Below are 19,630 nucleotides of genomic sequence, written 5' to 3'. Positions count from 1 at the left end.
TGGAAGACCTTCTCTGTCTGGTTTGTTCTCAATCACAGGGTGTATCTTTCAAGGACTTTCCTTGGTAAGCATGGAGGGCATTTGTCTCTTTCGTCTTCAAGGATGGGGCAGATTCCCTTCATGCCTTCTGGAGTTTCAGTTCATTAGCATCCCGCCACATGAAGAGTCAAAGTAGACCAAGTATCTTGAAGGAAACATTGGTCATGTGTTTGAGAACATCCAAGTCTTCAATATTGTCACAGCAACCCTATTTGAACACCAAAATCGTTGCTGGCTTCTCTTATCTCTCAAAAGAAATCTGTGAATAATCAAGCTCAGATTCCCAACTTCTAGTAGCCCCCATAACAAATATATTTCCCCAAAGGAAAAATCAAGTTATGTTCTTTGTCAGTACACGCTATTTTTCTTGCATATCTTGCATATTCTCTTTTCAGAATCCATTCCATCAGTTGTGACTTTATATTTAGTACTGAAATACTTCATGATATTTCACTCTATTTTTCAAATGCGTTTGTCTTTGCGCTGCACTCTTCTGCATAATGTTAGCATTCAGAAAAGAACCTGTCAGGGAAACCATCCATGTCTTTGAGGCCCTTCAAGTTTCCCATATGTTACTGCAGCCCTCTGAACCTTCTAAAAGCTGTTTCTCCAAAGAGAAACACAGCATCACTCCGCTACGATGTCCAAGCATCCAGGGTTAGAAAATAAAAACAATTCTGGTGGTAGTTGTCTCACTCACTTCTAAATCATTGCTCTCACTCTGAAATTTCATCTTTTTCTAGTCTTAATGAGGAATAATTGACAGATAAAAATTGTATATGTTTAAGTTATACAACATGATAATTTTGACATATGTTTACATTTTGAAATGATTACCACAATCAAGCTAATTCATATAACTATTACCTCACATAGTTAACAATATTTTGTGGTGAGAACACTTTGGATCTACTCTCTTAGCAAATTTCAAATCTATAATATGACTTTATTAACCATAGTTACTATGCCATACATGAGATTCCCCCATCTGATAATTGAAAGTTTATACCCTTTGATTGACATCTGGACATCTCCCTCACCCTCCAGCCCCTGGCAGCCATCATTCTACTCTCTGCTTCTGCGATTTCAACATTTTTAGATTCCAAATGTAAGTAAAATCATACAGTATTTGTCTTTTTGTGTCTGGCTTATTTCACTTAGCATAATGTCCTCCAGGTTCATCCAAGTTGTCGCAGATGGCAAGATTTTCTTTTCTTTATAGATGAATAATATTCTATTATACACGCCCATATTTTCTTTACCCATTCACGTGTAAATGGTAACTTAGGTTGTTTTATATCTTTACTATTGTGAATAATGCTGCAATAAACATGAGTGTGCAGATACATCTTTGAGATACTGACATTAATTTTTTTTTTTAGATGTATACCCAGATGTGGGATTGCTGGATCATATGGTAGTTTTAAGCTTTCGGAAACCTCCATACTGTTTTCCATAATGGTTATTCCTATTTACATTGCCACCAACAGTGCAAAAGGGTTCCCTCTTCTCCATACCCTCCCCAACACGTGTTATCTCCTGCTTTTTAATACTAAAGATCCTAACAGGTTCAACGTGCTTTCTCATTGTGGTTTTAATTTTCATTTCCCTGATGCATAGTGATGTGGAGCATCTTTTCACGTAACTGTTGACCGTTGGTACATCACCTTTGGAAAAATGTCCATTCAGATTTTTTGCTCATTTTTAAATCATGTTTTTTGTTTTGGTTTGGTTTATGCTACTGAATTGTATGAGTTCCTTATTTTGAATATTAATCCCTTATCAGATATATGGTTTGCAACATATTTTTAAAATTGTATCAGTTGTCATTTTGTTTTGCTGATTTATGTTTGTTTTCTGACCAGAAACATTGTGCTTTGATATGGTCCCACTTGTTTATTTTTGCTTTTGTTTCACGTGCTATCGGTGTCATATCCAAATTGCCAAGATCAATGTCAAGGAGCTTTTCACCTATTTTCTCCTAGGAGTTTTACGGATTCAAGTCCTAGGTTTAAGTCTTTAATCCGTATCGAGTTAATTTTTGTTTATGGTATAAGGAAAAGGTCCAATTTTATTCTCCTTCATATGGATAGACAGTTTTCCCAACAACATTTATTAAATGGACTATACTTTTCTTATTGTGTATTCATGGCATCCCTATCTAAAAATGCTTGACCATATACCGATTAGTTTATTTCTGGGCTCTCTATCCTGTTCCATTGGACTATGAGTCTGTTCTTATTTGTGTACTATACTGTTTTGATTAGTATATGTTTGTAATGTAGTTTGAAGTCATGAAGTGTTATGTCCCCAGCTTTGTTCTTTCTCAAGATTGCTTTGGTTATTCAGGGTCTTTTACAGTTTCATATGAAATTTTAAGATTTTTTTTCTATTTCTGTGAAAAATGCCATTGGAATTTTGAAAGATATTTCATTAATTCGGTTCTCACTCTGAAATTTTATTTCATGTGGGTCTTGTTGCTTCTACAAATTTGTATTTTAAATACCAGGCTTTTGTACTTTACCTTTTTTCTATTTATTGTTAGTGAAACATTGTTCTATTTCAACTTACTGTATTGTCCTGAGACCATAATTTCATGAAGATTGTATTAGAAAATTTACTCTGAACACAACATAGAAAATAAAAGGATGGGAAAAAGAAGGTAGGGAGTCAGTCTGTAAAAACGTTTTTAATAACACGCAATTCAATTCACGTAATTCAATTCACCTTTTCAGAACCTAAAGAGTGGCAATGATAATGGAGTGAATTGGTGGTATCCCATGAGGTCAAACAACCCTTACAGAAATGAGTCCCTATTATGTACCAAACACAGATCTACACATATGAGATACAACAATGAATAAAACAAGCATAAGTCACATCCACAGGGAACTTAGGGAAAAACAGATAATAAATTATATATACAATAAATAAATAAATAATGTATTTAGTTACAAAGAGAGGTGTGCTATGAAAATAAAAATAGAATAAAGTCAGAAGGTTAAAATTGCTAGACATGGATTGGTGGCTTGCAATGTCAAATAGAGTGGCAAAGTTAATACTTGACGTCATAAGGTAATACAGGATTTGATATAAGTGGAATTTATAATATTCTGTAATTGAATTGTTGAGTGTGGGAAATTCTAAGGTTGTTGTAAAGATATACTCACTTGTTATATATGGTTCTTTTATTTCATAAGGCAGCAAGTCATTAATTCTAATTTATCTGTAGATGATTCTGAATTTTGAACTTATACAATTATACATTCTGGAAAAATGATATTTTAATTACTTACTTTCTGGATCTTACATTATTTTCCTTATTTAACTAGCTAACACCTTTAAATTTTAACAGAAAGCAATGTTTTCTTATTCTTAATTTCTTAGGGGGAAAGTTTCATGAATGAACATGAGGTTTGTCTGCAGCTATTTTTTTTTACTACAGGCATTATCTGATGATGTAAGTTCCTGTCATTCATAGTTTGTTAAACATTTTTTGAATGCTTATATACTTGGACTTTATCAAATGCCATGGTAAAGCAATTGAAAGGATCATGTGGCTTTCTTTCAGTCTGACAGAATAATGAATAACTCTAATTTTCACAAGCTGACTTATATTACTGAAACAAGTTTGGTAGTGTTTTTTTCATGACTTTTGAATATATATTTATAGTAAATATTACCTTTCAATTTAACTTTTGAGTCATGTCTTTATATGTTTTGTTGTAAATGTTATTCTGGTCTCATAAAATAGTTGGACATTGTTTCTTCTTTTTTAAAAATATCTCAAAGAATTTTTAAGTTACATATTTTTTCTTTCAGCGTTTGGAAAATTCATTTGTGAATTTTTTGAGTTTGAATTTTCACTGTAGGAAGATGATCACATTAGGATAAAATTTATTTAAGAGATATCATAATTTTTGTCTTCTTGAGTCAAACTAGGGATTGTATTTTTCAAGGAATTTTTCAACTTAATCAAATATTCCAAGTTATTAGTATCAACTTGTCTGATCATCTTATTTTAATCTTTATACTATCTCTAGAACTACTACTAATGGCCATTTTTTCATCCTTGATGCTTATAATTTCTACCTTCTCTCCATGTACTTCTCAGTTTTATTATAGTTTTATTAGGTTTATTAATCTTGTGAAAGTACTACAATTTGGCTTTATTGATTCTCTATTGAATACTTCTTTCTATTTCAATAATGTATGCATTGGATGAAACCAGGCTTTTTTTGCTCTCTTCTCAAGATGTTGTTTTGTTCATTTATTTCTAGTCTTTCTTCCCATCTGCCTTATGTATTTGAGTGTATTTCCTTCTTACCATGACTAAAACAGCATCCACACATTTTAATATGTTAGCAGGTACCACAACATGTGTACATTTGATTCGCTGACATTTATGGAGAATAACTTCATGCTCCTACGTCTGATTAAGTTTGGTGACTATTCTAACACATCTGAAAGACCTTCTATTCTGTATTCACTGCAACTAGCATTCAATATATGTCAATTTGGTCAATTTTTTGAATCATATTGTTTACATTTCCAGTCCCCATAATGATATTTTTGGCTGCTTCTATTAACGCATGAGATACATGTGTGAAATGTTTCAATAGCTATTAGGGTTTTCAGAATATCTCTTTTGTATTCTGTCAAATTTCACTTTAATATATTTAATTTTGTTCCACACATAAAATATACTTTTATTCTGGGCTGAATTCTTTGTGGGAGCTGTTCTATTTTTTGATTTACACATACTGCTAATGTGCAGTCCTTCAAGAATCCTAACTTTAATTCTGGCATATTTCACAGGTTTCTTCTTTAATGGGCTCTGAATTTCATCTTTTGTCATCACAGACCCAGGAGATTAGCAAGCACTCTACTCAGCCTTTCTAGTCTTCCTTGCACGGCTTTTGGGTAAACAAAATCCTTCCTTGGGAAAAGCAGCTTTTGAGTTTGCAGGCATATCTCTGCTCCTTCCTTCGTCTCTGGGTCATGACCTCTCATATCATCACCGCTTGCCTGGTTCAGTGTCGGTTCAAAATATTTTCTTATAATATTTGTTCAGCTTGCTCATTTTTTGTTTCTTTTCCAGCAGGAGAGTTAGTCTGAAATGACAATGTTATATTCTCATAAGTCTAGTTCTGTCAGATTCTGATTTTAACATTGCTTCACAGATTGCAATGAGAAGTTATCTTTTCTGAGGTCTGTTAAATTAATTTCATGTTTTAAAAAACCCTATTTTTAAAAGTCCAGATTTTTCTCTGTATTATTTTAAGGTAATACTGGCATTTGCAATGTAAGAGTTTCTTCTAGGCATATTTTATTAAAATATTTAAACAGGGAAAAGTAAAAATTTATTACATTGCAACAGTCTGTTTTAAATTTTTCTTTATCGTAAAGTCTAAGGGTTTCTGGAATCATTTCATAGCGTCTGTGTAATAAAGACTCATTTTCTAGAGGCATTTAATCAACAAGAGTTGAGATCACTTTTTAAATGAGCTCTTCTCATCCTGACACATAGATTCGAAATACCTTATCTGAACATGATTTTCCAAGTTTATGCTTTTGATTACACCTGGGTAGAAACTGTGTTTCCTCCCTCTAATCTGTTGCCTCATATTCTTTTCAGCAAATGAAACAGCATATGTTAAGGCAATAAGGCATGGCCACCCTCTGGGCTTTCATATGCCAGAATAAAGAAAATGAATGTTAATGCCAAAAATAAAGAAGCATATTAAAATGAAGATGTTTTGGAATAGTATTTCCCTCTAACTTATGGTTTAAAGTTACCATTTTATGTGATTCAGAAAACTCAGACTGGAATAATGAATGTTATTTTCCGTGGATTTTTGCAAAAAAGAAAACATGACTGACTTCGTTAGAAGAATTTGCTTTGTTAAATGTATACATTCACTTACTCTACACATAATTTGAGTGCCAGCATGTGTTAGCATATCAGTGCTAGATATAGAAACAATTCAATATTTGGTTAATAATACTAGTGCACTTATTAAAATTTTAAATAATTTAACACTTTACCTATAATTACTTTTTAAAGTGCGTTAGTTGTTATTTGCATTACTAACCAAATATGGCTTGTCACATAAACATATGTTTTTAAGTTAAATGATTATTAGAATGCAGATTTCTAGAGGCAAACGTTTTGGAACAAATGTAATATAAGTAGGTACATAAATTAAAGGTGCTATGTGGTGCAGATTTCTAGAAGATGGATAATTTCTGTAGAGATTATACAATGATATAAATGAAGTATCCACAAAAGTAATTACTGAAGCTATAATTCATATGTTAGCCATAAAGGAATTGACACTTTTATTTGTCCCAGCTAGAAAAAAAATCACAAATATAAGTTAATTCACATTCATTGATTTGAGATGTAGAAAAAACAAGGAAAGCACAACAATTCTCAAAGAAAAATTTTGAGTATATGTTAGAAACTTTTTAGAAACTTTGCTTGAAATAGTAATCAGCTTTGAAAAATGGCTATCAATTTTTAACTTATAAAATCATATCATCTATACTCTTCCAGGAAAATTCCTGAAATTCCCTAGGCCTATGAAACAATCATCTATTTTCAATTAAGTACATCAGAATAATGTGAGAATTTGAATGATACGTATGGACATTAGCCATATGGAGATGTAAAGACAGGATTTTTTTAATCCAATAAAATCCAAATATTGTATTTATTTGCATTGAGAAAGAGATAGGATAGAGACTATTATCCAGAAATGAAATGAATATATATAGGAGGTATATTTTCAAGCAGTGATCAAATACCAGGTTCCTAAGTTTCAGAAGCTTATTTAAAAATCTCTGCAGTTACTGTTTCAGAAATTGCTCTCAATGGACATATGCATTTGGATGTTAATTTTTAATGATGTTCATTCACCTTTCTATCTTTTTTTTTTTTTTTTTTGAGACAGGGTCTTACTCTTTCACCGAGTTACCAAGGATGGTCTTGATCTCCTGACCTCGTGATCTGCCCGCCTCAGCCTCCCAAAGTCACCTTGCTCTTTTTATATACATTTTCTTCTTTGGTTTTAGTCTCCTTATATAAATATTCACATATGAAATGTTTTATTATTCATAAAATAATTCATTCACAGTATATAAAACCACATATTTAAATACTATAATTCAAATAAAATAACAATATGACTTTTTGTTACACAAATTACATGGAAGTAATTGACTTTTTTTTTACAAGCCTCATAAATAGGTTGATTTATTTAAATGTGAAGTTTGCTTTATTGAAATTTTATTTGCAACATATCTTAATATAGTTAAAGTGAATGTATGCATATCATTCTATACATTAAAATGTTTATGGATTTTTCTACTTATAATTGAGTTTAGCATACATGAAACTGTGTTAATTCTTTTTTTAAGGGCCTGAGCAGTAGTAAGTATGTATTTTCTTTGCTTTTGATTTTGAAATAATTTATTGTTGCCAACTGAAAATAACATGGACCCATTTTCTTATGATAAATAAAATCTGTGTTACCAAAGCTTAGTGTTTCATGGTGAATTTTCCGATTTTCCTTATCCACTTAAAGCATCATTAGCACGTTTAATATGATTGCATTCTATCTGCTTAGATAATTCATAAATCTGGCAGCAACTTGCAATTAATGCCTTTGTAATATACTTATAATAATTGACGTCAACTGTGGGTCATTAGTATGATTATTGTGCCACCAATGAATTGCACAGTTTATTTGGGTGACTAATTTGTGTTTAAGCTTAATAATAAATGTCAGTTTCAATTGCTGTTGTCCTTCCGTTTTTCTTCCCATGTAAGATTTCTTAAGAAAAAAAGACCATATAAAACAATGTTAGTCCAACCACTGAAACCAATTCTAAAGGTATAAATTACTTTGCTGAATTTTAATTGTACAGCTTGTCATGATTTGGAGATTAAATAGGAAATTAATATATTGTTAGGTACTTTTATGTATAGAAATTATTTTCCCAATGTCTGTTATTGAGATTCTTTATATTATTAACTTTTATTAAAATTAACCATTATTTTAAAAGTTTGTATTCATCTCATATTTACACCCTAAAGGCCGAAGGGCTTCTATGGCTTCACAATCTGACACATCCGAGCTTTTCAGCCTCATCACACATACTTTCCTTCACACATGGTTTGCTCTGGGCATTCCAAGCCACTTTCAATTCTTTAAGCTTGCTCTGACTTTCATAATGCTGTCTTTGCTCGTGCTCAAATTTCCTTCCCAAATAGCTGAGAATCTCCCTTACCATCCATAAATTACCTTTTAAAGCTTACTTTTTCTTTGATCTCTTCCAGATCAAAAACAAGCCTTCCCCATCAATCTCCAGGGAAAATCATTGAAATTCCATTGTTCATAAATGTTTTGCAACCATACAGATAATATAACATATATTGCATTGCATTATATTCTTTTATTTTTGTTTTTCTAATCAGCACAAAGTCCCCGAAAAGAAGACAACATGCTATATGTAATAACATAATAAAAGTATAAAATGTATAACAAAGATAGAGAAAACATCTTAGCAATGTGTATGTTCACATCCACGTATATTAAGTATATTCCAGAGCCTATCAACATAGTACTTTCTCCATAATACTAAATTAAACATTCTCGGGAAGCCAGCAAAAGAATATTATTTCATTACAATATTATCTGTGGTAATACAGAGTCTTTATGTTCTGGACATTTGAAGTTGAGGACTGTTAATTTCCTCTATAAGTGATGGCAGGTTATGGCAGGGCGCGGTGGCTCAAGCCTGTAATCCAAGCACTTTGGGAGGCCGAGGCAGGTGGATCACGAGGTCAGGAGATCGAGACCTTCCTGGCGAGCATGGTGAAACCTCATCTCTACTAAAAATACAAAAAAAAAATTAGCCAGGCGTGGTGGCCGGCACCTGTAGTCCCAGCTACATGGGAGGCTGAGGCAGGAGAATTGCTTGAACCTGGGAGGCGGAGGTTGCAATGAGTCGAGATTGTGCCACTGCACTCCAGCCTGGGTGACAGAGCGAGACTCCGTCTCAAGAAAAAAAAAAAAAAAAAAAAAAAGATGGCAGGTTATTTTCACTTCCAGAAGTGTGGAAGAGAGCAATGAACATAGAGAAGAGTCTTGCTATTCATCATAGTGACTTGGTTGTACAGCAGAATAGATCTCTTAAACTTTATTCCTCCCATCTACCTGAAGTTTGTATTATTGAAAATGACTGACAGTAGATTTTAAGTGTTCCCAACACAATAAGATGATAAATATATGAGGTAATTCATGTGTTAATTAGTTCAATTTATGCATTTTACAATGTATAAGCATTTCAAGATATCATATCCTATACAATAAAGGTATATGATTTTTGTCAATTAAAAATATTCGCTTTTAGATATTTTCCTGTGTATTTCTAAATAAACTATTTTCCTTATGCTTTATTTGGGGAATACATAACAACTGCCCATTGAAATGAGGAGTAATGGAAACATTTTGCTCCATCTTAATTATATTTTTTATTTAGTCAAATATGTGTTTTTAATTTCACAGTAATGATTCTAATGGTTTCTTCTGGGAATGTTTAAAAACCTGTCTCTAATTCTTCTTACATGTAAAAGTCTTGCAAATATTTTTAGATAACTATTCATGATCTCTAGTGTCTTTTTTCTCCAACCGAAATAGCCTCAGATTCTTCTATTTTTTTTCTTTTAATGCAAGCGTTTTTCATCATTCCAAATCATGATCGTTGTACTCTGTACATGGTCTTGTGTCTCTAAGTACCCCTTAAAATGCACTTCTCTGAACAAACAAAAACAATACTTAAGCTGTAGTCTGAAGTGGAGTAGAACAAATTCTCTCCATTGACTACAACCTATCTGTCCTCTACCCTCTGCTACTCCACTGAAATTTTTCCTGTTAACATCATTAATGCCCTCATCTAATACAAAATCCAATGAATTCTCCATTGAAACAATAGTTATGCTCCCTCACTTTTCCTGTGCCATTGATAGTTACTCACTCATAAATTTTCTCTTCCTCATTTTTCATTTTCTGACACTCTCTTGATCTTCCTAGACCTGTAATTTCTTTGTGTTTTTCTTCATGAGATTCTGTTCCTTTTCTTGCTTTCTACATAATAATGTCCTTCAAAGTTAGAACCTACAGCCTTTTTGGTTATTTATCTACACACTCCCCTACATTATTTCACAAAGGAAATTTAACCCTGTCAATTCTAATTTATGATCCCAAATATATTTCTAGTCTAGTCTGGCTCTTTGAATCCGTATTTTTAACCATTTATCAACTATCTCCTACTGATACTCATTCTTCAAACAACATAAAATAATGTATAATTTTCTCACTGAAGGATTGTCATTTATTCCAAAACAGAAAATGTGTGCAGGCTTGGAACAGGAAGAAGGAGTTTATGCTCTTTGAAGTCAGAATTGTAAAAGCAAAGAGAAGGAAGATTTTGGTTTTTCCACATACAACAGGTGAACAAATGTGAATCATTTTACACATAACCTGGCATAATAAATCAAGATTAGCTATGTGGTCTAGGAAATCTGAAACACTCAAGAAAGGGAAGATCTGTCAATGTCAGAGTCTCAGCCAATGGTGGGTGCATCGCCTCATCATATGAAGAAGGAGACACTGTCAACAATTTACCGGATACCTTCCTGTCCTGGATAGTTCTGCTTTGGGCATTTTACTTATAAAGTTTTCACTTGAATATTCTTTTTCGTGTGATTTCATTTTTTAACATTTAAATTGCTAAAACATCTTGAAGTCATATTGGTTCCTAATGTATTTCCAAATTGTGGGTTAGTTGTAATATCATTTTTCAAAAATTTTGTCTTGAACCAATCATTAATGCCACCTTTATCTTGTATATATGTATGTGTTACCTACAGATATTTATTGTGTATATATGTATATATATTATGTATGTGTTACAAAGAAAGTGTTCTCACATGCATATTGTTTAATTGCTCAAATTTCCATGTGATTAAGATTTACCATGGACCGGGCTCAGAGGCTCATGCCTGTAATCCCAGCACTTTGGGAGGCTGAGGAAGGAAGATTGCTTGAGCCCAGGAGTTTGAGACTAGCGTGAGCAACATAGAGAGATCATATCTCTACAAGAAAATAAAAAATTAGCTGGGCACAGTGGCACGTGCCTGTCATCCTAGATACTTGGGAGGCTGAGGTGGGAGGATAGCTTAAGCCAGGAAGGTTGAGGCTGGTGTGAGTCAATAGCACCCTGTGCCTGCCTCAAAATATATATATATATTATTTACATAACTATCACCTTTTACCTAATAAAATGAGAGTTTTATTTAGTATGGATAAAGTGATTATGCTTTGCAATTTTAGAAGGCATTAGTACCTAGAAATCTGATCTGTATACCACAATGCTACAATTTTGACCTGCCCTTGCTTCTTCTACCCACAACTGTTGTTCTTGATAATCTATCTTCCTCTAGAAGAAAGAGTAATGGTTAAAACATGGGTTCCCAAAGTTATATTTCTCTTTAAAAAAAATTGGATTTCCAGCACCTATAGCCTAATTTCAATCATCTCCCCTTATTTTTCTGTAGCAAACATCAGCGAAATAGGGCATACAATTCACAGTATCAGGGTGAGAGGAAACATTAAAATTTGGATGCAAACTAAACTAGAATTATTGATCAAATAAAAGGAAGTATTCATAAAACATTCTTATAATAGGAATAAGTTAGTATTTCATTTTTAAACTCTTGTGGAAGTCTAGCTAGTAATCCAGGACTATAAAAGCAGTCTTAGATTCAGGGCTATGTCCCACATCCTGCTCACATCAGTACACTTGGAGGAGAATAGAGTACAGATATTAAGATTAATACATAGAGCACATGGTTAATAATAGAAGTAACAGTTTTTATTATGAATAGAAGATAGAATAAAACTAATTAGAAATACAAAATTCTGATACAAGATCAATTGAATATTTGGATTTGTTTGCTTCCCCAAAGAATCCATTGAAATTAAAATAAAGTGATAAAAATTTTAAAGAATATATAAAGTCAAATCGGATGAGCTCCATATTTGTACCCGGTGCAAGTCCAAAAATCAATTTAGAGACTCAGGTGTGACATGTGTTCATCAAACCTTTTCTTTCCTTGTTTTTCATTCAAAAGTTTGCAACAACAACAAAAATGTGTGAGGTTTGTTTATTTAGTCACTTTTAATTCATGTCGTTGTGCACATGACCATATATACTGTCAAGGGAAGGTCATTTTTTTAATCTTTCCTGCTAGTTGTGATTCAGTTAACAGTCCCACAGGATCGGAAGCTACTCTTGCAGAAAGCAGGGGCATTTGCACGTTGCGACTAAGGACAGGACGTTAATCACAATTCAACGTTGCATTTCAATGTACTTTTAAAATTTTCTCCCTCAAGGCTATACATCTATGAGATTAAGAGAATAATGAATAGCTCATTCTTTTTTCAACAGAAATATTAAATATCATTTTTACTGAAAATAAAATCTAGTAGACCCTGGTAATACATTTCATATCCTTCATTCTGTTTTCTAGTTTCAAAAGTAAAAGTATATCCTTGAGTATTTAAAGCCACAGTTGTGCTTGATATTAATGTATTATGGCCATTGTACTTTTATTTCCTCTTTGTATTATATTTTAAATAGTGAATTATTTTTATAAGTTATAAAGTACTTGATAAGTATAATTACATACTAAACTTTACTGTTTTTATGTATTGTCCTAACAGAATTATGTAGTATCTGGTCATATAACTTGTAATATTTTAGCATTAATATATTGTTTATTTTGTCTCAGGTTATAGTTTATTAATAATTACTTTGATATTGGAAATTCATATATTTTTGTTACATGTTTCATTTAATATTTTTACTCAAGTTCAAGATAGACATGCAAATGTGGAATAAAAAGAAATTAAAGAAGATCAAATAATCAAGTTGCTGTAATCTGGAGAAAAATCTATGAATTTGAATTCACTCTTTAATTATTTTTTCTACTTACTGAGTGAGCCACTTCTGAAAAGCAAATTCATCCCTCTCATATAGAAATTCATAAGAAAGTTTATGTTTATTTCATAGGCAAGCACACTTTAACAGAGAACAAATAAGAAAATTATCTAATAAGATAGTAAGAATATTTTTGAATTGGAGATAGTCAATAATTGTATTTTTCTGCCAAGACTATTTATCGATATAGTTATAAAATTATTTTCAGTATTTGAGAATGTAATTTTCAACTTTAGTTAAAAATGTTCTGCTCATCTGAAAAATTAGGTTCTATGAAAATAACCCTTTTCAATAGTATCATTTTATCATCATTTGGAGGAACATAATCCAGTGTTACACGTGTTTTTCTCTGATCTATCTTTTCAGATCTTGAAGATGTTAGAATATATATATTCTGTCTAAGCATTTCGTGGCCAGTAATTAGACATTGACAGGTTCCATACTAGTAATGTAGGGAATAGGGCTGCTGCTTTTTGGGTTTCCTTGAGTATACTTTGTGCTGCATAAATATGGCAATGGATAGTAAATAATTTGTATGCAGACCTTTAGTGTCGATTAACCTGTGAATAAGGGAACAACAATCAAGGACAAAAATCAAAAGACTAATTCTCTATACATTTTGAGCTTTTGTAAAAAAGTAAGATTAGCTGAATATATCTGAAAAATTTCTAATCTCCTTTACAATTTTTTAAATTGTTTATCAAGCCTGTCTAGTAAAAATAATTCAGTTTCGGAATGTGGACATACTCAAGATACCAAGATAAATACTTCCCAGGCATTCGTAAAAAAAAAAAAAAAATCTTGTCACTTCGGGGGTACATGTGCAGGTTTGTTACACACGTATGTGCTTGTGTCGTGGAGTTTTGTTGTACAAATTATTTTTTCACCCAGGTGTTAATCCTAATACTAATTAGTTATTTTTTTCCTGATCCTCTCCCTTTTACCTCCACCCTCTGATAGGCTTCAGTGTGTGTTGCTCCCCTCTACATGTTCATGTGTTATCATTTAGCTCTCACTTATAAGTGAGAACATGTAGTATTTGTTTTTCTTTTTCTGCACCACTTTGCTAGGGATACTGGCCACTGGCTCCATCCAAGTTCCTGCAAAGGACATGATTTGCTCTTTTTTTATGGCTGCATAGTGTTCCATAGTGTATAAGTACAACATTTTCTTTACCCTATCTATCACTGATGGGCGTTTAAGTTAATTCTATGTCTTTGCTATTGTGAATAGTGCTGCAATAAACAGACACCTGTATATGTCTTTATTATAGAACAATGTATTCCTTTGGTTACATACCCAGTAATGGGATTGCTGGGTCAAATGGTATTTCTGTTTCTAGGTCTTTGAGGAATCGCCACATTCTCTTCCACAATGGTTCAACTAATTTACATTCCCACCAAAGATGTATAAGCATTTATTTTTCTCTGCAGCCTTACCAGTATCTGTTATTTCCTGACTTTTGAATAGTAGTGATTCTGAGTGGTGTGTGATGGTATCTCACTGTGGTTTTGAGTTACATTTCTTTAATAATCCGAAGATGTTGAGCTGTTTTTCATGAGTGTTGGCCGCATCTATGTCTTCTTTTGCAAATTGTCTGTTCATGTCCTTTGCCCAATTTTAATGTGTTTATTTTTTTCTTGTAAATTTCTTTAAGTGCCTTGTAGGTGCTGGATATTAGACCTTTGTAGGAGGCATAGTTTGCAAAAAATTTTCTTCCATTCTGTGGGTTGTCTGTTCACTGTGTTGATAGTTTCTTTTTCTCTGCAGAAGCTCTTTAGTTTAATTAGATTCCATATGTCAATTTTGGCTTTTGTTGCAATTGCTCTTGGTGTATTAGTCATGAAATCCTTGCCCATTCCTATGTCTTAAATGTTATTGCCCATTCTTTTTATTGGCCTTACTAACAAAAATATTAATTGGGATATTTTTATTCTCATTTTACAATAAAGAATATTTTAAATAAGAGAAGTGAAGTAACTTGCAAATTGTGACACAGGATTTTGTCAGTCAATCTGGTGCCATTTCTTTCTACTATGCTCTTGTATTGCTTCCCAAAGTAACCAGGTTCTCCTATTAAGAAACACTCAAACACAGGTACTCACACCAAGATGCACACTCACACAAATCTATTCTTATACAGTATAATCCCAGTTCCTGTTCTTCTACACATTGTTAGATTTCTTCCCTGCTGTATAAACTTCTAATTTTATTTTATTTTATTTTTTATTTTATTATTGTTATACTTTAAGTTTTAGGGTACATGTGCACAACGTGCAGGTTTGTTACATATGTATACATGTGCCATGTTGGTGCGCTGCACCCATTAACTCGTCATTTAGCATTAGGTCACTGGCCATCAGAGAAATGCAAATCAAAACCACAATGGGATACCATCTCACACCAGTTAGAATGGCGATCATTAAAAAGTCAGGAAACAACAGGTGCTGGAGAGGATATGGAGAAATAGGAACACTTTTACACTGTTGGTGGGACTGTAAACTAGTTCAACCATTGTGGAAGTCAGTGTGGTGATTCCTCAGGGATCTAGAACTAGAAATACCATTTGGCCCAGCCATCCCATTACTGGGTATATACCCAAAGGATTATAAATCATGCTGCTATAAAGACACATGCACACATATGTTTATTGTGGCACTATTCACAATAGCAAAGACTTGGAACCAAGCCAAATGTCCAACAATGATAGACTAGATTAAGAAAATGTGGCACATATACCATGGAATACTATGAAGCCATAAAAAATGATGAGTTCATGTCCTTTGTAGGGACACACATGAAGCTGGAAATCATCATTCTCAGCAAACTATCGCAAGGACAAAAAACCAAACACCGCATGTTCTCACTCATAGGTGGGAATTGAACAATGAGAACACATGGACACAGGAAGGGGAACATCACACACCGGGGACTGTTGTGGGGTGGGGGGAGGGGGCAGGGATAGCATTAGGAGATAAACTTCTAATTTTAGACATCACAGAGACGGATTTGAGACTGATTTCCTGTCTCCTCAGGTGTAGCACATGATTGAAGCCTTCTTCCTTGGCAATAATCATTGTCTCAACAATTGGCTTTCTGTTTGGCAAGCAGCAGGACCTAGACTGATCCTCTGGTGTTTCAGTAACATATTCTGTTTCACTGGTCTGTAAGTCTGTTTTTGTACCAGGACCATGCTATTGTGGGTACTGTAGCCTTATGGTATAGTTTGAAATCTGGTAATGTGATGCCCCTGGCTATGTTTTTTGCTTAGGATTGCTTTGGCTATTCAGGCTCCTCTTTGGTTCCATATAAAGTTTAGAATTTTTTTTCTAAATCCATGAAAAATGCTGTTGATAGTTTGATAAGACTAGTGTTGAATCTGCTACCTTTTACCATGTACAAAAATTAACTCAATATGAATTAAATATTTAAATGTAAGATCTCAAGCTATAAAAATCATTGAAGAAAACAGACAGAGTACCATTCTGGACATGAACTTTTGCAAAGGATTCAAGACTAAACCCTCAAAAGAAATTGCATCAAAACCAAAAATTGATAAGTGGGACCTAATTAAACTAAAGAGCTTCTGCACGGCAAAAGAAGCAATCAACAGAGTAATCAGACAACCTACAGAATGGGAGAAATTATTCACAAACTATACATCTAACAAAGGTCTAATTATCCAAAATCTCCAAGGAACTTAAACAGCTCAACAAGTAAAATAAATAGTATATTAAAAAGTGGACAAAGGACATGAACAGTTACTCCTCAAAAGAAGCTATATAAGTGGTTAATAAACATATGAAAATGCTCAACGTAACACAATCATCAGAGAAATGCAAATCAAAATTACAGTGAGATATTATCTCACACGAATCAGAATGGCTTCACATCAAAGTCAAAAATAACAAGTGCTGACAAGGCGGTGGATAAGAAGGAGTGTTTACATAATGTTGGTGGAAATGTAAATTAGTTCAGCCACTGTGAAAAGCATTTAGAAAATTTCTCAAAGAACCAAAATAGAGCTAACGTTTTACTCAGTGATCCCAATACTGGATATATACACAAAGGAAAATAAATTGTTCTACCAAAAAGACACATACATGTATTACGTATGTTCACTGCAGCACTACTCACAATAATAAAGAAATGAAATTAACCTTAGTGCCCATCAGTAGTAGATTGACTAAAAAAGAAATGAAATTAACCTTAGTGCCCATCAGTAGTAGATTGACTAAAGAAAATGTGGTGCATATTCACTATGGAATACAAGACAGTCATAAATATATATATTTAACATATATATATTCTATACATATATTCCATATATATATATATAATATATATATATATATATATTCTTTGGAGAAACATGGCTACAGCTGGAAGCCATCATCCCAAGCAAAGTAACAGAAAACCAAATACTGCATGTTCTCACTTATAACTGAGGGCTAAACACTGGGCACATGTGAATAAAAAGATGGAAACAGTAGACGCTGGTTACTACTAGAGGAGAGCAAGTGCTGATAAACTACCTACTGGGTACTATGCTCACTACCTGGATGATGGGTTAATTTGTACTCCAAACCTCAGCATCACGTGATATAAAAACTGTGCACACATACGCCCTGAATCTAAATAAAATTTGAATTTTTTAAAATGAGCCATGGTTGGTAATGATTGAATTGTAGTAAAAGCCACGAATCTTGGTTCCATCCACAGTTGAATTAAAGGCAGTTCTACTGTCTCTAGGAACCAATTATATATAGTAGGACTAGGTGCTAATACAAGTTGCATATTCTCTGAGTGCTGTTTCCTGCACCTCATATTCATTGCCTGAAAAGTAAGATGCTGAACATTAAGATTTCTACATGCCTTTATACTCTAAAACATCTGATTTCCTTCTGATATCTTAATTTGAAAGAAAAAATTGTCATATATTTTTCATTTATTCCACTCACATTTACATTTCTGAATAAAGTTCTCATATAAATGTATAATAAAAAATAGTCATATTGGAAAACAAATCTTTGAAAAAATTTAAATTTCCAAGCAAAGATCAAAACTTGTTTAAATTCCTGTGGTGTCGCCCTTCATATCCCTTAAAAATATACTTTAATAATCAAGAAAAATGTATGCAAGACTGAAATACACAGTACAATGTATACTTAATTAAATGAGAACAAAACTCTCTAAAAATAGCAAAATGTGGAGTATTCGTATTCAGGGCACAGAGAAGGTGCAACTCAATCCTGCAGCACTGGCTCCCCCACAGCATCTAAGAGGGTCCAGCTCACTAAGACTTTTCAGAGCTTCGAGATATGCTCATTGTAATTGAGATGCACTAGAAAACATTTTGTGTTATCCTTTAGGCCTAAAATATATCTGCCTCAGTATAGTATATCTATAATAGATGCTTTATGGTTCATTGTATATTTATTCACTCTACCTCACTAACCTTACAGCTATCCATACCTGGCATGCTGACAAGTATTTAATGTCTTGGTTAGAGTTCTGTTCAAACTAATGTCTACATTGAATTTATATAAGCAAAATATTCTAAATATATGCTGCTTACATAACAGAAAAAAACTATACAAGCTAACATTGCAAAGGTATTCAAAATAGTGCGTATATATACATATATATGACATAGATACGTATATGTGTGTTTATTTATAAATACACATTTAAAGCCTTGAGAGTTCCTTAATAATAAGGGTATATATATTCATGTTTAAAACCCTGAAAATTCTTTAATAATAAGGGTAGCCCGAAAGCTAGGAAGTTAAATTTAGCTCAGATTTATCATCTTGAATGATAATGGCATACTTATCTGAAGCTTTACTAAGCCTCCTGGATATTTAAGATGTGCTAGAGAATCTCTCAACAGTAGACCTTAATTCTCTCCCCCTGACTCTCCTACACAAAAACTGTTCTGAAGGAAGAATGTTGTTTTATTTTCTATTGCCAGCAGTGCTTACAGATACGAGAAGAGAAACCTCTCATCAAACTGCAACTGCGAGAGGAATTATTTTTCCAGGAGAGCATTTTCTGTTGTCCAACCATCCATTTTGCCCTTTACAACAATCGTTTAAAAACTTTGTACAGCCTTAGGAGTCTTTGGTCCTGGATAGGAAAGATATATTTATTAACACATAGATGTGCGCTAGATGAAAGCTTGACGTCTTTAGCCTGAGTGCCTAAAAGAATTATGATACGTCATTGATTTCCATATACATAACTAATTTTCAAAAACCCTTAGACATTTTTAAACTTGCACTGCAAAACATTAACTATAGTGTCATATTACGGTTTTTCTTTAAGTACTATTTACAGGATAGCATCTTGGCAATTTAAGAGCCTTTTCTTACTATCGCTATTCAATAGCAATCCTCTTTAGTCTCATTTTGACACGAGACTACTATTCATGGCCCTAGCTGTTTTCCTCCTCACTCCCATATTCTTACCTCCTCTATGTTTTTACAATGGGAAACTATGCCATTATTACTATAAAACA

The 19,630-nt window shown here is 33.0% G+C and overlaps 1 long non-coding RNA gene across 1 annotated transcript in view; it reads right to left on the bottom strand.

Moving 5' to 3' along the window:
- Positions 1-2,713: 2,713 nt before the first annotated feature.
- Positions 2,714-19,630, bottom strand: part of DSEL-AS1 (DSEL antisense RNA 1) — a 383,074-nt gene continuing 366,157 nt past the window's right edge. Inside the window, exon 5 of the long non-coding RNA NR_033921.1 lies at positions 2,714-5,153. This is a non-coding gene — a long non-coding RNA (DSEL antisense RNA 1). The remainder of the gene's footprint in view (positions 5,154-19,630) is intronic.

The sequence above is a fragment of the Homo sapiens genome, chromosome 18 (genome assembly GCF_000001405.40).
Source record: "Homo sapiens chromosome 18, GRCh38.p14 Primary Assembly".
NCBI lineage: Eukaryota > Metazoa > Chordata > Mammalia > Primates > Hominidae > Homo > Homo sapiens.
Note: the sequence above shows the minus strand (reverse complement) of the source record. Positions and strands in the feature narration are given on the sequence as shown.